This window comes from Homo sapiens, chromosome 3, assembly GCF_000001405.40.
Source record: "Homo sapiens chromosome 3, GRCh38.p14 Primary Assembly".
NCBI lineage: Eukaryota > Metazoa > Chordata > Mammalia > Primates > Hominidae > Homo > Homo sapiens.
The window spans coordinates 44,100,972-44,122,828 of record NC_000003.12 but is presented as its reverse complement, the minus strand read 5'-3'; the positions used below and the strand labels follow the sequence as shown (position 1 = coordinate 44,122,828).

The 21,857-nt window shown below is 46.6% G+C and overlaps 1 long non-coding RNA gene and 1 other non-coding gene across 5 annotated transcripts in view, besides 2 other annotated features; both read right to left on the bottom strand.

Annotated features, from left to right (window-relative positions):
* Positions 1 to 464: 464 nt before the first annotated feature.
* The window catches only part of LOC124909489 (uncharacterized), a 123,033-nt gene continuing 101,640 nt past the window's right edge, over positions 465 to 21,857 (bottom strand). Inside the window, exons 3-5 of one of the 4 annotated variants that reach the window (XR_007096255.1) lie at positions 18,702 to 18,772; positions 13,126 to 13,421; positions 465 to 11,552 (exon numbers count right to left, since the gene is read on the bottom strand). This is a non-coding gene — a long non-coding RNA (uncharacterized LOC124909489). Of the gene's footprint in view, positions 11,553 to 13,125; positions 13,422 to 18,693; positions 18,773 to 21,857 lie in introns of all 4 variants that reach the window. The other 3 variants (XR_007096256.1, XR_007096254.1, XR_007096253.1) reach the window with 3 other exon arrangements.
* Positions 8,073 to 8,572: an enhancer, noted in NCBI's record as "H3K4me1 hESC enhancer chr3:44155749-44156248 (GRCh37/hg19 assembly coordinates)". NCBI's record gives its function as "activates a minimal SCP1, AML or CMV promoter by ChIP-STARR-seq in naive H9 embryonic stem cells {active_cell/tissue: H9 hESC(naive)}" and the evidence as "EXISTENCE:reporter gene assay evidence [ECO:0000049][PMID:30033119]".
* Positions 8,519 to 8,617, bottom strand: MIR138-1 (microRNA 138-1). Its single transcript, NR_029700.1, has one exon. It is a non-coding gene; the product is annotated as a microRNA 138-1 (primary transcript).
* Positions 17,818 to 17,977: an enhancer, noted in NCBI's record as "active region_19760". NCBI's record gives its function as "activates an Ori minimal core promoter by ATAC-STARR-seq in GM12878 lymphoblastoid cells {active_cell/tissue: GM12878}" and the evidence as "EXISTENCE:reporter gene assay evidence [ECO:0000049][PMID:35858748]".

Here is a 21,857-nt window from a genome sequence, read left to right as displayed (position 1 = left end):
CGTCTCTCCTTGAGAACCCCGGAGGGGCCTGGCCTTCCATCTTGCCACCTGGGTTCCAAGGCTGGCCATGCTGTATGTCCTGTGCAAGTGCTTCCCTTTGTTCTCTCATCTTGGAAACAAGAGGGCTGGGCTAGGTTACCATTCCTGTTCCCCAGTCTTTTTTTTAAGTGTTGGTGAAAATTTTAGGGGGTGGAAATGGGTACTCTCATTTCTTGGGATCGTACATTGGAACAGTTCATCTAAAAAGGCGATTTGGTGGGAAGTTTCAAAAGCTCTAAAGATGTACACAACCACAGATACTCCAAGACATTCCTAGAAGGGGAACATCTGGGTCAAAGATTGAGCTACAAGGAGAATCACTAGTTTTGGTTTCTCACATTTTACTGTTATAAACATGCCGAACACCAAGAGACTGAATAAACAAATTATGTGCCTTATTCAATAAAACACAAATACATAAAATGTAATTCTGCAGAGAACATTTAATGATTTGGAAAGATTTTTCACAATGCCAAGTGTAAAGGCTAATTTCAGAGCAACCCATATTGTGGTTCTACCCACGTTAAAAAAAATACAAAGATCTAGAAAGCTAATAAACCAAGAATAACAGTCATCACTCCTGAGTAATGGGCTTGTTGAAGATTTAAAATCTTTATTTTTCAAAGTAACAATATATATGCATTGCTTTTGTAAGAAAATCCACAAAAATACTATTATGTTAAAAAATAATTTACCTAGTTTTGGCAGATGCTGCTGGGCAGGAAACTCTACAGCAATTACTGACCTGTTCTTCCCTTGCTGCTTGTGCTTCCACTCTCTATAGCTGAATGCTCACCCTTCCAGCTTCCCTGACTGCTGGGGTGGCCAAGTGATAGGAGTTCTGCCTAGTGAGATGTAAGTGGAGGTCTGCTGGGTGGACATGGAAGTTTCTGGGAAAGTTAATGGCTCCTGATAAAAGGAGGGGATACTTCTGGCCCTCTACCTCTCCTTTCTTCCTTCTGGAATGTGGAAGTGATGACTTGAACAGCAGTAGTCCTCTTGTGACAACAAGGCAATAAGGGTGGTGCAGCAGAAGGGTAAAGTCTAAGCTTTTGATGACACCTTAAGTCAATCCATCAACCCTGGACTCCCTCCAGGCTTCTTGTCATGGGTGAGAATTCTGATGTAACAGTTCTGGCTAGCTCAGGTTTGAAGGCTTTTGGCTGCAAGTAAGACTTAAGGTCTCTCCTCTAGGTCCTAGATCATCCCTATCATTCCACACTGCCTTCATAGAGAGAAACAGTGCCTTAAAGGCACTCTTTTCCCAAGCTGATGCTGCCTTCTTTTTGGCATTAGTATCTGAATTTATTTGGTGGTTCCTGGAGAGGAGCACTGTCTTTTGTAGCATAGGAATGTGTTAAGCAGCCCTTGTGCCCAACAGAGCAGGGCCTTGTATGAGACAGCCAGTCAGCTGTCTCTCAAAACACTATGTGCTGGGCATTGTGCCATGTGCTGGGGAAGGCAAAAGAGCAAAACGGACTCATACCTTGTCCTTCTGAAGCTTATCACTCGGTAGAAAACAAGAATATTGAGAAGTCAGTTAATCCTTTGCATAGTCGTTGGTGTGCAGTGTTTTAAAGAACAGGGTGCCATGCAAGTGTGTCCTGGAGGGGCCTGGCCCGGGGCTCAGGGAAGGCAGCCTAGAAGCTCTTTTCTGTCTCTAGGCTCAGCAAGATGTATCCCAAATTCCCAGGCTTGTCTGTGACAGCCTCTGCATCACAATGCCAAATGGAAGGAATCTTTCCTTTTGTCAGAGCCCTTGCCTGTGGGCTTTATCATCCATATATGCAAAATGAGGGAAGTGGACTCCACAAACTTCCAGCTTCCCAGAGCTCAAATCCCACGTGAAAGCAGCTGGGAGAGGCCACCACAGGAATGGTGCAAACACAGGCTGACAAGGCAAAGTGGGGGCTGTTTGCTTCCCAGCCTTGGCAGAGATGGGTCCCACATTTGTTCAGAGGCAGAGGCCTCTGCAGGGAACAGAGTATGCAAAGGCCTTAAGAGTAGGCCTGTGTGAGCAGCAGCAGGAAGGCCAGTGGGGCTGGGGCAGAGTGGGGCACAGAGACGGATCCCATGTGGCAGTGAGCAGTGGAGGTCAAAGCCCTAGGATCCAGCTTGTGTTTCAAAAGGATTTCAGGTCAGCCCTTGCCCATTCTGTTTGCTCTCAGAGTAAAAAATTGAGGTCAATGTTGGAGAGATCTGGTAATCCACGCAGCAAACTGCATTGATGGATGTGGTCTCAGACCTTGCATGTACCAAGGTAACCTAAGCAATGAAGCATTTATTTTTATTTTGTATTTATTTTGAAGTATTTTTAAATGTGTATGACTTTTATAATCATAAAAAATTGAAATTGTAAAAAAATGGCAAGTGGTTATCCCTAGGGATAAGATTATCAGGGACTTTCACATTCTATGCTGTATGTCAGCAGTCTTTTTAAATTTTTGGTCCTTGAACAGTGCTATTTTCTATTGTTCTCTGCCTCTAAACATTAATGGGTATTCCTCTAGGTGATGTACAAGAAGAAACAGGCAAAGACAGAAGAGTATTAACTCAGTTTCATGGTCACAAAGTCAATTACACACACACACACATATACACCCTGCTTCTTCCAGTCGAGTCAGGCCCAAGGGAACAACCTTGGAGGGAACAGCTCTTTTTTCTTCCTCCACTTCCAGTGCTCTCTTCCCTCAGTCTCCAGTGCTTCAAGCTTGAAGGCAAGTAGAAAACTTTGAAGGCAATCACACCTACGTTGCCTGTTGGTGGGTGGTTGGGAGAACTGCCTGGGAAGGAGGGAGGAGGATGAAGTCCCTTTGGGCAGGGTTAGCAGCACACATCTTTGGAGTCTGACAACCTACTCACCAGCTGTGAGACCGTGAGCAAGTTTCTTGACCTTTCTGAGCCTGTGCCTCACCTGAAAAATGGGAATGATGACACTGCTTCCATTCCCAGGGCTGCTCTGTGCTGCAATGAGACAACACAGGCTGAGTGCCTGGCACACAGTAAGTGCCAGTGGGTTAATGGGGTCACTGTCTTTGTTTCAGAGCACAAAGACCTCTGGCTCTGGAAACAGAGGACCAGGCTGCATGGTCCAGGACAGGTTGCTTTGCTTCTGCTTCTCCAACTGTGAGATAGAGCTGCGGTGGGACAAGGCGGGGGGCAGACATTTCTGCAGCAGGATGCAGGTGTCCCTCACAGCTCCTTCCTTCACCTCAGTGGGCTCCACCTTGATGCCACTCATCTGAGACTGTGACTGATGGACTGCTGGCAGGTGTCTAGCCCTGGGCTCTGTGGCACCCAAACCTGCTGTGCCAGGAAGTGAGGATTCCCGAAGCTGAGGCTGCTCCCAAGTTTCATCTTCTGTTGGGCTTCAGCCTCAGGTCTCGTTTTTGGCTCCTGTGCCACCCCCTGGAACTAGGGAGCAGTGGTCCAAGTCTCTGGAACTGAACCAGGATGTCAGGCAGCTGGAGAATGTTAGGGATGAGGTTTTACTGCTTATTTTGCTCTACTTTTCTATCAAAATTCTTTTATGCTATGCCTCTTAAAATAGCGATTTCAAACTCTCTCATTGGTCTGTGAGGTTTCTTCTGAGTTTTAAGAAGACAAAGGGAATGGTGAAATAAATCTTTTTGCCTCCCCCCACCCTTAAAAAATCCATAAAAAATTAACATGAAGGTGAAATTTTTTGACTTCAACTCTGTCCTTGAGACCCGTAAACTTTTCCTGAAATTTCAGCAGAGTGATGTGCAGTTTTCCTGGGGAGGGTACCCAAAGCTTTCCTGATAGTCTCACTGCAGTTGGTGTGATGGAGTACATAGGAACACTTCCCTTGTAGCAATGACACTCAAATTACTGTATTTTCTTAATGAGAGAAGCCACTTGCCTGAAGCCAGTACCTACCAAGAGACAGATGCTTGGGGTTGAAAAGGTCTTTGGCTATGGCTTTCATGAGGAATACATAAAAAACCACCTATGAAGTCTAAGGTAAATGGTGATAATTACCAGCAAAACAAGGATATCTACCCCTGCCACTAGCAAAAAAAGAAGTCCACCTCGAGAAAAGAGTACGACAAATTTTGTCAAGTTGAAATGATATGATCGCCCAGTGTGTTTGGTCTTTATGGCATTATCTTTTAGGGTCAAGGTTTCTCCAAGTTGACCGCCAATCAAATGGCTTTTCATTGCTCAGACAGAAACAGGTGCTCTAAGTAAGCTGGGCACAGCTGACTTTCATGATCCCCACTTGTTCATTAGGGAGGTAGAAAATCAAAAGCAAGGGCAAGTGTGGGTCTGGGAGTATTGCCGAGCTCAAATCTCTGCTCCCGCAAGTAATGTCTCTCATTCCTGAGGTACAGGCTGGCTCCTAAATCTCTCTGGCTCTAGTTCCTCTCCTTAAAATGGGGTTGCTGTGGGCTCAGATTAAAGAAATGGAAAGCCTTTAAAAGGTAACTGTGCCATGTACTGTGTTAAGAATTTAGTAAATAAAAATCTAAGACTTTATATTGGTAGAAAATAACTTTTACCTTCCAACTTCCCTGTTGTGAAGGAGAAAAGGATGTTCTGGGTATGTGTATGCAGGTGAAAATGGGAGAGTCAGGTTATCACTGCCCAGCATTCCTAGGGATTTACTTTTACAATTCACAAAAGTTTTAAGAGAATCATTATTCAACATACAGTAGTAAACACCCTAAACCTTCCACATTCTGCAAACAGTAGGCACAGACGCTTCACTATTGTGGCCTTCTAAATTTGATACTCAAGGGGTTTTCTCCCCCATCTTTTACTCTATATTGGTAGTTCCCAAACTTGAGTGCACTGGCCTCACCGCAGAGCTTCTAACTCAGCAGGGGTGGGTGGGGCTGGAGGATGTGCATGTCTAAAGCGTTCCCAGGAGATGCTGGTGCTGCTGCTGCTCCAGGGAGCACACTTTGAGAACCATTGCTCCATTTGATATTAAATACATTCGGGGAACTCCTTTTCCAAACGCAGCTTTTCCCAGAAGAGCTGACTGGGGCCAGCAGATGGTAAGCAGCTTAAGACAAGGTGGTGAGTATGAAAGTGTGTGTCTGGCGAGCTCCCTTACATCATCAGGGCTTTTGGTTGTCTACAACGGGCTTCCAGAGAGAGTCTTATAATTTGGAATGTGGCTAGCTGCAAAGGTAGGATCCCAAGGAAGTTATAATACAGTGATTCTAAACTCAAAGGTTCAAACGATCACAAAATCAAGGTTTTAGAAAAGGGGGAATGGACACTGTTTTTTTCTGGCCAGGTGGCATTAAGTCAGCCTGAGTGGAATGTCTGGAATGTTCAGGAGGGGAGAGGCTGTTCTCAATGAGGTGAATGCACTTTGGAAAAGAAGCCGCTATGGGGATGGAGGTCTGTGGCCCAGCAGGGGGGCTCTGGCTGGATCTAAGCATGCAGGGGAAGCAGCCCAAGGTTGTGCTCCCCTAGGCTAGCCTTGAGGAAAGAGTTCTGGGCAGGGGTGGGGTGAGGTGGGTGGGGAGCACAATTTGCCTTTGCAGTCTCAACCTCTGAAGGTCACTGTACAAACTTCAAATGAATTCAGCAGCTCAATACCAAAATTAAGTAGAGCATCCTCTGGATCTTAAATGGTTCTCTCATTCTCTCTCTGGACTTGACCCCATTTTATATTTTATTAGGTTTTTAATCAGGTTCCATTATGAAGTGCTTTAAACAAGGTTAGAATCTACAAATGCACAAAGGGAGAGAACACTGCCTGGTCTACCTGGTTTAAGAAACCAGAGTGGAAGCCTCTGAGAATGGAGAAGGCTTTGCTCAGTCCCTGGGAGCGGCCCTGGACTTCCATCATCAGCTTTGTCCCCTTCATGCTGGCTCCTCAGCAGCAGGGAGCAGTGGCTCAGCACATGGACTCTGAGGCCAGAGTGCTTGGGTTTAAACAGCAGCGACACCAATCACCAACAATATGGATGGTGTGGTCTTGGTACTTACCTGATAGGGTGGTTACATGACCTGCCTGCTTATGAGGAGGAAATGGAGGTACCGAGTACATGGCTAAATGTAAATGGAGGGCTCAGGGCAGTGCCTGGCACAGTTTCTATTCTGTAATTGCCTGCTGCTATTAATGATGATACCACTGAAAGGAAACAAAGACCCAGGGCTTCAACAAATAGCAAGAGTGTCTGACCTTGAAGGACGCTGGGCTTGGGCTGTGCTCATCCATTCATTGAACAGATTTATTCAGTGTCTACTCAGTGCCAGACACTGAACTAGGCTGGAGGGTACAGCAGTGAATGAAGCTGAATATTCCTGCCCTCAAGGAGCTTATGACCAGTGGGAAAGACACAGATTCAGCAAAGATTCCCACTAATGAACGAGTAATGACAAAATGAGATGAATGCTCTGAAGGGATGGAATTCAGCTTGCTGAGTGCACGGGAGAGCTGTTACCTGACCTGGCCTTCTGGGTAGTGGGAGTTGGCTCTGTCTGAAACTTGGAGGACGGTCAGGCATCAATGATGGGAGTCTGGAGGCAGCTGGGAGCCTTCTAGATAGGGTGGAGCTGAACGAAGGCCCTGGGGCAGGGGCCAGAGGGATCTTATAAAAAGGGAGGAGGGTAGGGAAGGGAGTGGATGTCATTCATGGGTCCCACTGAAGTTAGCGTGAGGACAACCCTTTAAGCAGTTATAAGGCCAGGAATGGGAGGCATTTGCGTGATTTAGGAGTGCATTTTGAAAAGATCATTCTGGTTATAACATGTGGAAGAGATAAGGCTGAAATGGAAGCTGGAGAGGTTGTGGGGAGACCCAAAAAGGGTGGAAGTGGTTTTGAAGCATCCCCTGGAGTGCCTGTAACATAGTTCCTGCCCAGCTTGCTGTCCCCACTGGAGATTTTTTTTTTTAAAACAGGGTCTTGCTGTTACCCAAGGTGGAGTATAGTGGCACAATCTCTGCTCACTGCAGCCTCAAACTCCTGGGCTCAAAACGTCCTCCCACCTCAGCTGCCTGAGGAGATGATGAGACTACAGGTGTGTGCCACCACACCCCTGTCTAATTTTTAAAAACATTCTTTATAGAGATTAGGTCTGGCTATGTTCCCCGAGTTGGCCACTGGAGATTCTGATGGAGCAGGTGCATGGTGGTCCCTGGGATCCTGCTTTTCCAACATGCTGAAGCTGCCACCCATGGACCACACCATGAGTGGCTCTAGCTTGGACTCCGTTGGTCGTAGGGGAGTTGGTAACTGGATGAATTCTTAGGAGACAGCAAGAAGCCCTTTCTGAAAACTGGGACTATTTTGCTTTGAAGATATTTGTCCCTAAACATAATTTAGTACAAATTTCAGAGATGCCCTTAACGATATAGGGATGGAGTGAGGGATAGAACTTTACAGAAGTAGACTCACCCTCCATAATTCTAAGGTGATACAGATGCAGGTGGCTCTGGTTAACTCAGGCTCTATGTAACCTGGGTGCTATGCAAGGTTTGCATGGTGCTTGTTTTTATCCGTCTCTCTGGTTTTCAGAGCAGCAAGAACCCTATACAAACAGACTATAGACTGGGCCTGAGTTAATCAGAGTGGCTCTGGATCTTTGTCCTGTAGAAAACTAGAGAGAGGAATATCCTCCTTTTTATTAGCGTTATGGAAAGGACACCAGCCAACCCAGCCACTCTATCTTGAAAACTCTTGCTTGGGCTCTGAAAAATGGTGATGTCACATATAAGATTTAAGTTAGGCACAAAATACTACTCCAACTCTAGAGACCTCCATTAGTTTTCCAGCTCTGCTGGGTCCATGGCTGTAAGGACCTGGGGAAAGGAAGCCCATCTGTCAGCACAGGTGATGGCAAGTATTACCTTTGATGGAGTGTCTGGCAGATCAGTGCCCTAGGAACAATCCCATGCTTGGTTCTCGTCCAGCCCTCAGGTCACTGGGACATGCACTGATGGAGAGCTGTGGAACTCTCCCTGGCCAAGAAAGGTGTTTGCTTTCCAGGGACCCTGGGACCATCTAGGAAGTGGATGCATTACCTGCATGTGTGGCTACAAAGAGCCTTCCTCTCTCCAGGAGGCCACCGTCCTATTACTAGGTCCTCCCTTCCCTCTACTTTGCCCTATTCAAAGCTACCATCACCAAGTATCAAAACAAAGGTCCCAACTCCGCAACCATTGTGTGTTTTGGCACCTAGGAGGAAATGTTCAGTTGAGTGGCGCTTAACCCTCCTGATGGCCCATAACTTCATTTTCACAGTGGGAAACCTGGTAGCACCATTTTCTCTGTAGGAAGCTAATGTTACCAGGAGTGTCTTTTTCTTTAAAAGTGGAGCATTTGTGTTGGGGGATAAACAGCAGCCTCAGGAGGCCAGTGTCTGCAGGGGAGCTGCAGCAGCCAGCCCAGAACTGGAAAGCCGCGTGCCTGGGTTCTGGAGCCGAGGGTCCTCTGTGACGGGTGTAGCTGCCTCGCCAGAGGGCGCCCTTGCGGGTTCTGGAGCTGGAATGCTGCCTGTAGTGTGGTGTGGCCCTGGTGTTGTGAAGTAGCCGTTCTCTGATTGGCAACGGCCTGATTCACAACACCAGCTGCCCCACCACACCATGCCAGGGAGGTCTCTGGGGCAGGCCGATGGGCGTAGAGATGCCTTTGTGCTGCTGCTGCCGGAGGTGGAGAGAGGACAGAGAACAGCCAGAAGTGAGAACCGGGAAGCAAGCATATGCTAACATTTCACTGCCTTCCCCAGCCCCACCTGAAAGACTTTTTTTCGTTGTGCCTTTTGTGAACTTCCCCATCCCATAGGGGTCATGGGTGGGTATCCATGGCTCCAAGGAGTCCCGGGTCCTGAACACAAACTTACCTGTGTGTTGGTATTTCTCTGGGAAGAGGATCTGCCTTCAATAAATGCTCAAAGGGAAACACAGCCCTCCACAGCTTAAGTATGTCCAGTGTGGGCCTTCATAGCATTTGATGATCACCATACCTCCCAGAACAAAGTTTTTTCCCCACCAATGCTTTTCTGGGAGAAATGCAAGGAATCCCATTACTGTGTTGCCAAACACAGAAACCAGAAACCAGACATGGTTCTTACTGCATATTCTGAGTAATTTCTTTCCCTCGGCTGCCCCTCACCCCTCCATTTGTATGCTGTCCAGGGTCCCCAAACCTCCAAGGCCACGCTTGGAGTAGCTTCCATGTCTACTGAGGATGATCAGGGTCAAAATGGAACCCTTCAAGGATGCACAGCAATCTCCCTGCTCAGTCCTCTACAGAGTGGGGAACACATTCCAGATAAAAAATAAGGGTGACCACCGAGGATTTGAGGCAGTCAAACAAACCAACCAAAGCTGAGACTGGCTGAAAAGAAATCAGGTAGCCAACATGGACACACTTAACCATCACGGCGCCTGTCCTTCCATCAGCCAGTGACCCGCCAGGGTGCTTCCTCCCCTGGCTTCAGCGGGTCCAGGATCCTGAATGTCTGTACTACGGAAACCCAGTAGTAAGATCACTTGGGAGCTCTCCTTTTGGTAGCTGCCTGGATTTTATCACCATTATGAAATTATATAGCATAAACTTGATGTGAAAATAGCATTTGAAGTTTAAACCCTATTTCCAGGTGTCAATAAACACTTTAAATGAACAGCTCTTTGGCCCAAAATGGCTCCCGCATGCTGTGTGGTTCTTAGTTACCCAATCAAGAAAAATCACATTTCCCACTTTCTGCCATCTATCTTGGAACCCACTTTATTTTAAGGACATAAACTTGGCAACTTCCTAGTACTGGATATGGCATAGAAGTTCTGCCAAAGTTCTTGCCAGAGTTGGGGGAAGCAGAAACTTTGAGTAATATATCAATCATAGCTTATCACCAGGCCACATAAATCACTGTGGTCTTGGAGTTCAGAAATGTCTGGATTTTTCCTATCTGCAATCAGTGATTCTCTGCTGGGACATTAGGCTATAATCTCTACACTGGGGCCTCTGGCCCACAGAATCCCAGGCTGGGAATGTAGGTTGGGAACACTAGATAAATGTGTGTATTTGATGAGCATTGGTGTTGACTAAGTTAACATGGCTGGCTTTCCAAGCATCAGGTAGAGACCTGGAATTTTTTCTTTCCCATGGGGCTGAAATTTCTGCGGACTGTCTTGAGGACCAATAACCACTCACTTTGAGAATGAGCAAGTTCCAGAAAGTGGGATTAACTCCTTGTAAAAAGTTGCTGACCAAGAGGGTACATGGGAAGGTCACGCTGGTACCAGGTAAAACCTGTACAAACTCCAAGAAATTAGACAACACAAACCCACATCCTGGCGCTATCCCATCTCTGTGTCTGAGGGGCAAAAGGTGACTCAGGAATAGGTGAGAAACTGGGGCCATGAACAGACTCATCTGCAGCCAACTCCACTTTGTGGTTCTGTCGAGAATCCGCTAGTGCCCAAGGGGATACAGAGAGATCAATAAATCATCAATAAATGGCCATCATGTTTTAACTTCCAATGCTTGCAAGGACTTGGCACCTTAAAGGGCAGGGCCAGGCCTGGCACAGGCCCTACCCCCTCTTCCCCTAACCCTCCCTATTCTCCTCCTCTCTGTGCTTTCTTAACTTCTCAAATGAACCATGCTCCCTCTCACCCCAGTGCCCTCACACAAGCTGCTTCCTCTGCCTGGAATGCCTTTTTCCCAGTTCTGCATGTTGAATACCAACTCCTTCAAGCTTCAACTCCAGTCACTTCCTGGACCTCCAACCTCAGACCAGACCTGACTCCTCTGTAACATGCTCTACAGGTAGCTGGTCCTCTTCCTTGCACTTCTCATGGCATGTGAGTGAAGTCTCCTCCAACTTCAACACTGGGTTCCCAGCGTTGGCCATGTGGGAGATGCTTGATGAATACTGGTTGGATGAATGAATGATTTCAACCAAGACTCAATGGCCCAGTTATTCTTTTCTAAGTGCTCAGATGAATCCCTCAGGAGAATAAATATGGCACCAAGTATTTTAGAAACATACATGGTGCTATTCTGTAATGAATAATTTTACTTCAATAGACTGTCAGACCTCTTAACTCATCTTCCTGACTCTAGGCTAACTTCATGCTGATCTGACTCACCCTCTCCTAAACTCCCCATTGCCCCAGGATAGAGTGAGTCCCAGATCCTGCAGCCTCTTTTCCAGCATGACCCTCCCCGGTGGTGCAGTGGTGCCCCAGCATACCACATGTGCATGCTTCTGTGGATCTGAACCTGACTGGAAGGCCCACACCCCTTTCTATCGAGAAAATTCCTCTTTCTGCAGTCCCAGTTCTGGAGCTAGCCATCAAGGAGGCCTTCCTTGCCCATTGCTCAGCTTGCACTCTTGGCCTGGCCTCTGACTCTTGTACCTTTTGTGTCCTTCCATTACTACTTACATCTTCAGTCTGTCTTAGTTGATGGTGAACCTGAGGACGGAAGCCATCGTGGAGTCGCCTGGCAGGTCAACACTCACACAGCATCTGGAACACAGGGGCCTTCAGCCTGGATGTGCTTCCATTCCATAAGGAGTTCCTGCAAAGCAGGGGGTGTAAGGGCACTATGATAGTAAAAATCTGTTCTTTGTGTCCCCTGTGAATCATCAGAATGTCCAGAAAGTTCCAATATTTTGCCATATTAAGTGCATTTCTTCATCTCCATGGCCACCCAAACTCCCAGTCCAGACCCCTGCCAGAGCAGGGGTCTTCAGGCTGCATGTGGGCTGGCTGAGTGCCAAGGAGTTAACATTCCCAAGGAGCATCAACCAGTGACGGACGGGGGTTAGTGGATAAACACCCGGCTCTCTGGCCCCCTGGGTGGGATAACCCTGAGATGTGTTCTACACCAGCTCACAGAGGTCCGCATGTGCCAGCAGCAGTAACCTGATGGATAACCTTTACTGGCTCCCTTCCTCAGTCTCTTACAACGCTTCCTGGACTACTGCCCAACACTCAGCAGTGCAGTTAGTGTCAGTGTGAAGTGTATTCAAGTCCACTCATGGTTTTGAATGGGTGGATGTTATGCTGTTGCCAGGATGGGGCCAGGGCGAGAGGAGAGAGGCACCCTCCGTGCTGATCCTGCTCTCGTCTGAGCTAGACCATGGGTGCTTCCTGAGATTCTGCATCTTGGACATCTTGCCTGCTCACTCCAGACCCCCCCGACTTTCAGGAAATCAGAATATAAAACTCAGATAAAACAACCTATCCCAAGTAGGTGTTTTCCAGAGTGTGCCGTATCTATATTTCTTCACTGCTTTTTCATAGACAATCACCCTCTAAATGGAGGACCTTTTGGCTTCCAAATTCTGAGGTATTAGGATCATTCTACATGGTCAGTAAAGCATACATGTTATTGTAGGCATTTAAGACAGCATGTCTACTTTAAGATGATGGCAAAAAAACCAAAAGGCAACCTGTAAAGCTTGTTTGTTTTAGCCTATCTTGGCAGAAGCCTTCTAGGTGAAAAATAAAACCCCTGGTTCAAAGAGGCTGCCTGGCCTGCTGAGCTCAGCCTGGAGTTTATTAGCACAGTTAATATTGCATGCAAATAGATTTCCCTGCTTTGGTCATGCCAATCCATTAATTCAGCCCCTTGTCTGCTACATCTTTATCCTTGGCAGGTTAATCCTGCCAAATGCCTTTGCTGTACCACCTGTCACGCTGTGCCTATGTCCAACAATGCAATTTTGCTAATCCTGTTGTATCGGCTTTGTGGCCCTGTCTGGTCAAGCCAGTGGTGGAAAAAGTGCGTATAAGGTTTTTGCCAAGATCTTTCTCCTACTCTGGCACCTACCCCTCCTTTTAAAAAAATGATTTCAATTAAATGGTTTGAAAGTCAACCACAGTGTTGGATGCCAGCCAGCGGCCATGTCTTTCAGACAAGGATGTCACGGCACTCAGCATGCCTCCAAACTGTTTCTGGCAGCCCCACCCAGCGTCAGCTGAATACGCTAAGTGAAAAGGGTTAAAACAGGAAGATCAGCTAAACATCTCTTTTCCATGGCTGGAAAATCCTGTCCTGTCCTGACACCAAATAGGTTTAACGTTCTACCCTCACAGTTACCATAAAGGACATGAAGGGCTTGAGGATGGTTGAATGGAAAGCATACCTGTCACTTGTCTTTGGTGCTGTCCTCTTTAAGGCTTGGTGGAATCATTCACATGAATTGTTAGATGAGGCACATCCCTTCCTGCAGTCACCAGTGTCAGGTATTCACCTGACACATGGAGGAGCCGAATCTCCAGGCCCCACAGTGTGCTGCTCTTCTAGTTCATGTCCCCGTGCAGGTAAGAGCCTGGGTGGGCCTTGTAGCCACATTTGCTCAGGTTCAAATCCCAGCTGGACCGCTTCTACCTCTGTGACACTAAGCATGTTGCTTTACCTCTCTGGCCTCATTTTGCTTATCTGTAAAATAGGCATAACCATAGCACCGGCCACACAGGATTGCTGTAAGGATTCTGCGTTAATACATGTCAATCACTCAGAACAGTGCTGGTACACATATAGCAGGCAGTGGGTAAATGTAAGCTGATATTAGCATAGACTGGGAAATTTGTCAAAACTCACTGCCATTTGCATAGTACATAGGCAGAGCGCATGGTAAAATTCCACAGGGCATATCTTTTAGGGTCTTCAGATATTAACTGTACTCTCTTGCCTGCGAATTACAGAAATCTGGCTGCAAGGATGCCTATCTAGTCTTCATGCCTCCCGCTGGTCTCTATGTTACCTTGGTAGCCTTTGGTGGATGTGAGGAAGCATTCTGGGGGTATAAGCGCTGGGACTGTGATTAGGTTCCCCGGGGCCTGAGTCCTAGGCCTGCTGCTGTGTGACTTTGGGCAAGTTGCTTGACCTGTGAGACTCTTACAATCCCCACATTAGCAATGGTGAGACTTGGTTTTACACAGCAGGGTTATTTTGAGGATTAAATAAAAAAGTACACGTGAGGTGCATGGCATGCCGCTGGGAACACCATAAGTGCCCCATAAATAATGGCCATTATGGTTATGGAGCCCCTGCAAAGCACCTGGGCTTCCCTCTCCAATTCTCCATCCATCTGCTTCCTCATCTCCTCACAGCCTTCATGTAGATGTTGTGAGAGTTATGTGGGACTGGGGAGGGAAAGCTGCCAGCATGGGGCCTGGTTTCCAACACAGACTCTAGAGATGAGGCGGTGCTCACTGCTGTTAAACCACAGTTCACCCTGGCTGATTTCTTGCTCCAAATAGCCTTCAGCTCCATACAGTCCTTTTTGTGTTAGTCTAGACTAATTCTTGCTAAGACCTATGAGTGGTTTTTAGATGATGGTGTGCATGTATAGATTTGAAAGTCCCATGTTTGGACAGAGCTGAATATGCATCCTGATGTGAGTGCCTAGACATCATTATGGTAACTGTGAGGGGAGGACATTAAACCTATTTGGTGTCAGAGGTGTCAGGACAGGATTTTTGCCCTCTGTGTGAAAAGTATTTTGCTACACAAAAGAGCAGTATGCTTCCCTTGCCAACCCAGCCACTGAACACTGCCCTTTCCCTCCTGCTTTTCCCAGGTGCTACTGGAACGTCTAACAAATAGCCTTATCATGAGTTGAGCATGTACTATGTTTCTGTTACCAGCCTGGATGCTTCACATTCATTATCTTCTTTTTTTTTTTTTTTTTGAGATGGAGTCTTGCTCTGTCGCCCAGGCTGGAGTGCAGTGGCGCGATCTCGGTTCACTGCAAGCTCCACCTCCTGGGTTCATGCCATTCTCCTGCCTCAGCCTCCAGAGTAGCTGGGACTACAGGCGCCCACCACCACATCCAGCTAATGTTTTGTATTTTTAGTAGAGATGGGGTTTCACCATGTTAGCCAGGATGGTCTCGATCTCCTGACCTTGTGATCCACCCACCTCGGCCTCCCAAAGTGCTGGGATTACAGGTGTGAGCTACAGCACCCGGACCATTATCTTCTTTAATTGAAATAGTACTGTTTTACCAATTTCTCACTTAAGGAAATGGAAACTTTGAAATGACAATTAGCTTACCCAAAGTCATAGCTAGCAAGTGGCCATAGAGACCAGGAGCTTTCCAGGCTACAGGGCTACACAACACATCTTTGGTGTGATGCCATTTCAGCTGCTAGGCATCAGAGTCGAGGGTGGACCTCCTGAATTACCAACTCTCTTTGTCATTTATTTTTTCCAAGGTATAGCTATGCCACATGGAATATTTTCCTCCTCCTTTTATTGTTTTGATGAATCCCATACTCAGTTTTTAATTTTTCTCCCGGGGGAGGATGTAGCAAAAAACAAGACTTCTTTTCTGTAAAAATTAGGAAATTCCAGCATCTTAGCACATTTCATCGGGTGTGCTAAGAGTACTCTCTCGCCTGCCAATTATAGAATTAGCTGCAAGGACCCCTATCTAGTCTCCATACCTCCCACTGGTCTATACATCCCAATTCTAACCCTATATATCCCAATTCTGCTGCACTGATCTTAATCTACTTTTCATTCACCAATCTCTTGAATATAATCAGTTTGCTAATTAAAACATGATGGAATCAAGCTATTTGCAAAATTAGGAGTTCTGACCCTCTGGCCTCTGTGGCCCAGGTGAGGTCCTCTGAGACACATACATGTGTTGCCTTGGCGAGAATTCATGCTGAGAAGACAGTCCATTCATCTTAGGTCTTGCTTAACTAGCAGAATGTAAACATCTTTGAACTTTGCTTACTGGATAAAAGGCAGCAAGCATTAGCTTCTCATTAGCTTCCCACTGCATTTCCTCCTGCAGGATCAATCACACATCCAGCCCAGACACGTGGCCCCTGCTTGTAATTAATCTTGGAAAGGCGTAGCTCTTCTGTGGATGGATTGCTGTATTTGAGCGCGGCTTTCAGAGGGGAGGGGTAGGAGAAATAAAGGCTGGAAGCAGAATAATAAGCACCAGTGTTTGAGAAGTCTGCTCTGTGCCCTGTGCTGCAAGCAGCTTTTTTTAATGGTTGATTCACTGCCAGAAAATTTGCTTTTGCCTGAACGCGACTTAGCATCAGGGAGGGAATTTATGATTTCTTCTTTTCCACAGTGTGAATTTCATGCCTTAGTTAGTTGCGTTTTTTTTTTTGGCCAAATTGAAGTTGTCTAAATCCTATATTTTGGGTGGTTGTAGAGTTATGCTCCATACTCTCTCAACCTGTCTGAGGGATGGAAGTTCCTGGATTCTTCTATTCACAAGGATTTAACTGTGACACTTGCATACAACTGAAAGAGACCTTCTTTTGACCTTGTTCTCAGAACTCTGCTTTTCTAATTCTTATTTGAATTTTAAATGCTTTAAGGTGGTTGGATTTTTTTCTTTTTTAAAAAATTGTGGTCATCTCAGTTACCAGGCTGGTAGAGGGCAGTTGGGAAGGCAGTAATAACAAGGAAGTGAAGATCCCATGAGTATTGATCATCAGAGATGGCTAGGACTTGAGGCACTAAGGATTGTCACCTCCTTGCCTTTACTGAATAGTATTTGTTGCTATTTTGGAAACCAAATTGCAGAAAAACCTTTACGGAAACTCAATTTACACAAAACCCACCTAAGGAGTGACGTCCTCAAAAGCTCTAGGAGGACTGTGTGAAAAGGCAAGTTTCCTTGCTGCCCCGAATATCATGTGTGAGACACACTTCATTTTAAGGGCCATGCCCATTATGTAAAAGGAGGTGCATCTGCATTTATCTCCGAAAAGGGATTTCTTCTGACAAAGCATTTCCCTCCCCTGCAAGCCTTGAAAGACATATAGACAACACGAGGATTAAGATATATTGACAATGGGAGGATTATTTCCTTACCTGGTATATGACAAATGCCTACTAATAAGTGAACGAGACAATCCTGTCTCCATTTTCTCTCAAATGCCCTGACCTTGTGGTCAGTACTCATGGGGTTACTGACCTCGCTTATCCTGCTGCCTGCCCAGGACCCTGGGGACAAACCATCCTGGCAAGCCTGAGACTGCCCGCCCAGACAGAGGGGGCCCTTGGGCTCTGCCCACAGGAGCAGGTAAGCCGTTCTCACTTCCTCTTGCATGCCCACCTCTTTTGCCTCAGCTCTTGCATTTCTGTTGCCGGAACTCAAAATGCTTTCTTGTCAGACAAAATGTATATTTGGAAAGTATATTTGTTGGAAAACTTGACTGGCATTGAGACCTCAAAGGCCTGGCTGGGCATTTCTGGTTAGCAGCAGAGACCTAATTTTTCTTTTTGAAAGTCCTGCTTCCTCCCCACAATTCCTGGCCTTGCAGCCCTGTGAAATTTCCTAGGCTGCTTCCCCTTCTGCCATGATTGTAAGTTTCCTGAGGCCTCCCCAGCCATGCTTCCTATACAGACTGTGGGACCGTGAGCCATTTAATTCTCTTTTCTTTATAAATTACCCAGTCTCATGTAGTTCTTTATAGCAAAGCAAGAACAGGACTAAAACAATATGTTTATATTCTCTTCTCTCCAGTAGTTCTCCCAAGAAACTCTCTCTTAAAAAATGCAGCAGCTAATAGAGTTTTGGAGGAAGAAAACCCTTTAATGAAACATGATTTCCTAGAGTAGCAGTAAGGGGAAGTTCTGCTTCTGAACAAAATGAGTTACCTCAACACCACCACAAAATACTCAGGGAAAGGTAACCAAGAACAGGCTTCTGAGAACGAATGAGTCACCCTCTCTTACACTCTGCAGCCTGAGCTGGGAGACACTGGCACACACATGCTGACACCGGCAATGACTCACTTCAGTCTCACCTCCAGACCTGTCAGATCTCCTGGCCATTATTTAGAGAAATCACTAGCAAAATTGAAGGACAACTTACAAATCCAAATCACCCTATAGTTCTTAACCAACTTCTAAGGGCTGTGAGCAGTCGCCTCATGGGGGGGTCCTCTCCCCAAACTCTAGGCTGAGGCACAGAGGTTGACATGAATCTTCCAGAATGTCATTATTGGAGCAGCTCAAGGATCCACCTCTGTTCGCCCCTGAGGGAGACACAGGTGAGCTGGAGCTGGTGAATTCTGGAACTCTGGCTCTTTGTACCACACCTCAAAAAAGCCTCCAGTCCTGGGGTTAGGGGGCAGCTTTCCTGCAAATGGATGTGCTCACATGCCTGGGGAAGGGGCTTATTCAGATGCACAAACAGGAAGAACACGAAAGTGGGAGAGACCAAGGCAGGGGACAGAATTCAAGGGGTCCATGCAGCTTTCTTGGTAACACTTTTTAAAAAATTATTTGTGCAATTATTTACTGACATAACTGAATGAGGAATGCTTAGAAAAATATCCCTGAGACTTTGCTCAAAGTAAAACACTTCCATAACCCTAGGTATTAAATTTTAATGTTGACACTGAAAGACCATATTCTGAGACAGTGTCTGAAGCACAGACAAGAGCAAAGACCCCTTCCCCATGGGAAGTGAATCCCAGGGAGAGGGTGGAGAGGGGCAGGGACATGAGTCATGTCTCCATGCCCCAGAGCTGACCACTCCCCTGACTTTGCTATGTTCTACAGCCTTGTAACGCTGTCCAGTGCTCACTCTGGGCTTGTTTTCTTATTGCTAAGATGGAAATAACAATACCCTTGAGCCTCAAAAGCAGACCATCATGTGTCTGGCCCAACGCCATGGCTACAGCAACTCAGAACCCAATCATATGGCACAGAAAAAACCTACCTACTGACCTGTTGGTGCTGCTGAGCCTCTCCATCCTTGTTCTGGACAGAAACTGAGAAGTCCAACCTCATCCTTCATTCTGCAAGAAATTTTCAGGAATCAGTCACTCTCTTGTCACCTTAACTTCAAGGCAAACCTTTTCAGACTCAGAAAAAGCAAACTTGGGACTCAGTTGAACTTCATAGGGACCATGAAAGATGGTCCACTATATAATGGACCTGCCGTCTTAACCCTGGGCTAAAAAACTGTGGGTGGGGGTGGGTGGTCGAGGTTGGGGGGGAGGGTGTGGTGGGTGAAGAGTTCTGCCTGCCTGGGCACTCACTGCTGGATTCTCCCTGCACTTGCACATTCTTTAACAAAGTGACAAGGCACAGCTAACATTATCATGCACCCTCAAGTGCCTCTTAGTTCACTTCACGCGATGCTTCTAGTGACATGCTTTTATGAATCTTTGAAGCATAGGTGGTGAGAGGATGAAGATTTTTCTGTTTTAGGGCTCGGTGCTCTCAGACTGTGTGTTTGTGACACCATCCTTCCCTACCCCCCTCTCCCTCCCATTCTACATCACTAGAAAGAAAAAAAAAGGGATGGGATACTCTTTAGACAAGCATCAAGCCCACAACTTAGCTGATGTCCTTCCTTTGTTCCCTACTCCTGAGGGCTAAGGCAATAGCTACAGACCTGGGGGCAGGAGAAGGGGGACTTTCACGTGAAGCTGAAGAGACGGGTGAAATGAGAAAATCTTTAGCAAAGCCCATCTTCTCAGCTGACGATATGGTTGCACTTCAGTTCTCCTTGTCCTTGAGAGGCAATAAAATGGGATGTGAAAAGATGGGGAATAGGTCAAGGTTTTGTCCCCATCTTGCAGATGGGGGAAACTGAGGTAGTGGAGCTTAAAGCAGCCAATTAACCTTTATGAAACTACAGGTTGGTAGGGGCCATACATATTTAGCAAACATCTTTAGCTTTCCTTTGAAACTAATGCTTTTTATTTTCTTGACTCCTATGATGGGTCCAGACCAGCAAAGTGAAGATGAGCAAGTCAGCTCCTCCACAACATTGATTCAAACTAAGTTGGCAGGGGCGTTAAGATGAGCACACTGCACTTGAGGAGGTCTGAAAGGGGCTCTTGCAGGGACACTCTGGGTACGTGGGAGAGAAGGAGAAAGCTCAGCAACACACACCTAATGATTAGATGACAGTTTCTCCATCTGTAAAATGGGATGACATTCTCCTTGGCTGGTAGAGGGAATAAAAGATAATCCTTGGGCTCAATCAACAGTTACAGTAATTGGCAGCTCACCAAGAGGTGCCTCTAATACCACAGAAATAAGCCCAGATACCAAAATGGGGAGTTCCCATCGCCAGCTCTGTCCTGAAGGAGTGGCACACGCTTGGCACATTCATTCTAAATTACGCCCCTGGCCTTAGGGTCCATTATGCCAAAGGATAATGTATTTGTGGCACCCACTGTGTCCTTGGAAGAGGTTTTCTCCAGGATGTGGAAGAAAAATTTAAAAGGATCAAAATAGAGGTATCAGTTAATTCATAGCCAAGATAGCGTATATGGTGTTTAGGTAGTTGTAGTAAAAGCAAAGAAAAATAATGGAGAGAGGAAACCTCACACAACTCATGTTGGTAGAAGAGCTGAATGGCAATATTGAAAAACATTTTGATGCTCATTAGGTAACTGTGCCACTTTGTCCCTGGCAGTTAAGTGCCTATCTCTGGTCTCTGACACAAAGTGATCTTACCACCTCCACTGAAATCGGAGAGCCCATCTCAATGACAGCACCCCCACCAATGTGTCCAGCTTATGGAGCTCAGCCACCGCAGTGATCTCCCAGGCCAATGGGGATGTGAAAAGTCACTGACAGGCCGCTCAAGGCCTTACTGAAGGGAGTATCCTCTGAGCCTGCTCCAGGGACAGAGTGTGAATGTGGGTGTGCAGGGCTCACATTATAATTTGATTCCCACATCCCAGCCTTCTAAGCCTTTGATTCTATCCTCTTACATGATGCCAAGGAAGTTTTGGAAACCGCATGGAATGTAGAACCATTGAGTCTCACTTTCAGCTAACCAACCAAACTTTTTTCTATCTCTTGGAGCCACTTCCAGCTGCTCAGCTGACATATAAAATTCAGGATCTCTCAACTCCATCTTTGGTCCAACATCCTTATAATCCATTCCTATGCACATTCTTCAGGTTTTCACCAACATAAATTAGCAAAATTTTGCAATCCTTTTGTAGGGATGCCCCTCCTGCCCTAGGAAGCAGACAGTCCCCTGCCTTCCACTTGGTGGAGGGTCTAGGCTGAGGCAAGGCTCCTGGGCTGCAACCCTCCTGCTCCTCTAGTGACCGCTGGTGTTTCTGCCTGCAAAAACGGTTCTTCAGGAAGCAAAACTTGCTGACAGAGACACTCTGCTCTATTTGGTGTTTTGCCAGAGATTTTACTTTGATTTAGAAATTGAAGAATCCCTCTGATCCTGAGAAGGTCCCAGAGGAAAGAACCTGAGGAGACACCCTGCAGCTTTCTGGCCTGACAAAGCTGCTTTTCTGAATTAGTCTTTCCAGGAGGGGGCTGAAGACTCAATATTCACCTCCCTGGCACCTTAAACTCCCACCTATATACTCCCTCCAAATGCAAGAAGACTTGAATTGTTATCAAAGACAGACTATGAAAAAGCAGCAGTAACTGAGTTCAGGTTGGCTGAGGAGGGCTAGAGATAGCTGGCTTAGCTGGAATCTTCTGCAACCCCTCTGTTGCAGTAGCCATCTTTCACCAAGCCTGACCATGCCTGGTGCTCCACAAACCCCCTCCCCAAGCCTTGCAGCAACCCTGAAAGGTGGGCATCATTGCCCCCAATTAATGGGTGAGGAAATGGAGACTCGGCCTCACTCATGTGCTTCCCCTGCCTCCACCATTCTCCCAGTGATAGTGATGACAAGCCCAGGAGGCTGGTGCTCATTCCCCAGATGCCGAGACAACAGTGTGCCTCTGGATCATGATGGCGGGGAGTGGTCATGGGCTTCTGGGTCAGTCACGAGCATTTGGCTTGTGCTTGAGCCATAGTCCTCCTGTCCCCAGGCGTCTTCAGGGAGTGTGGCCCTTCCTTTCCTCACAGGCAGGCAGGTTGCCTACTCTTCACTGCTTTTCCAAATG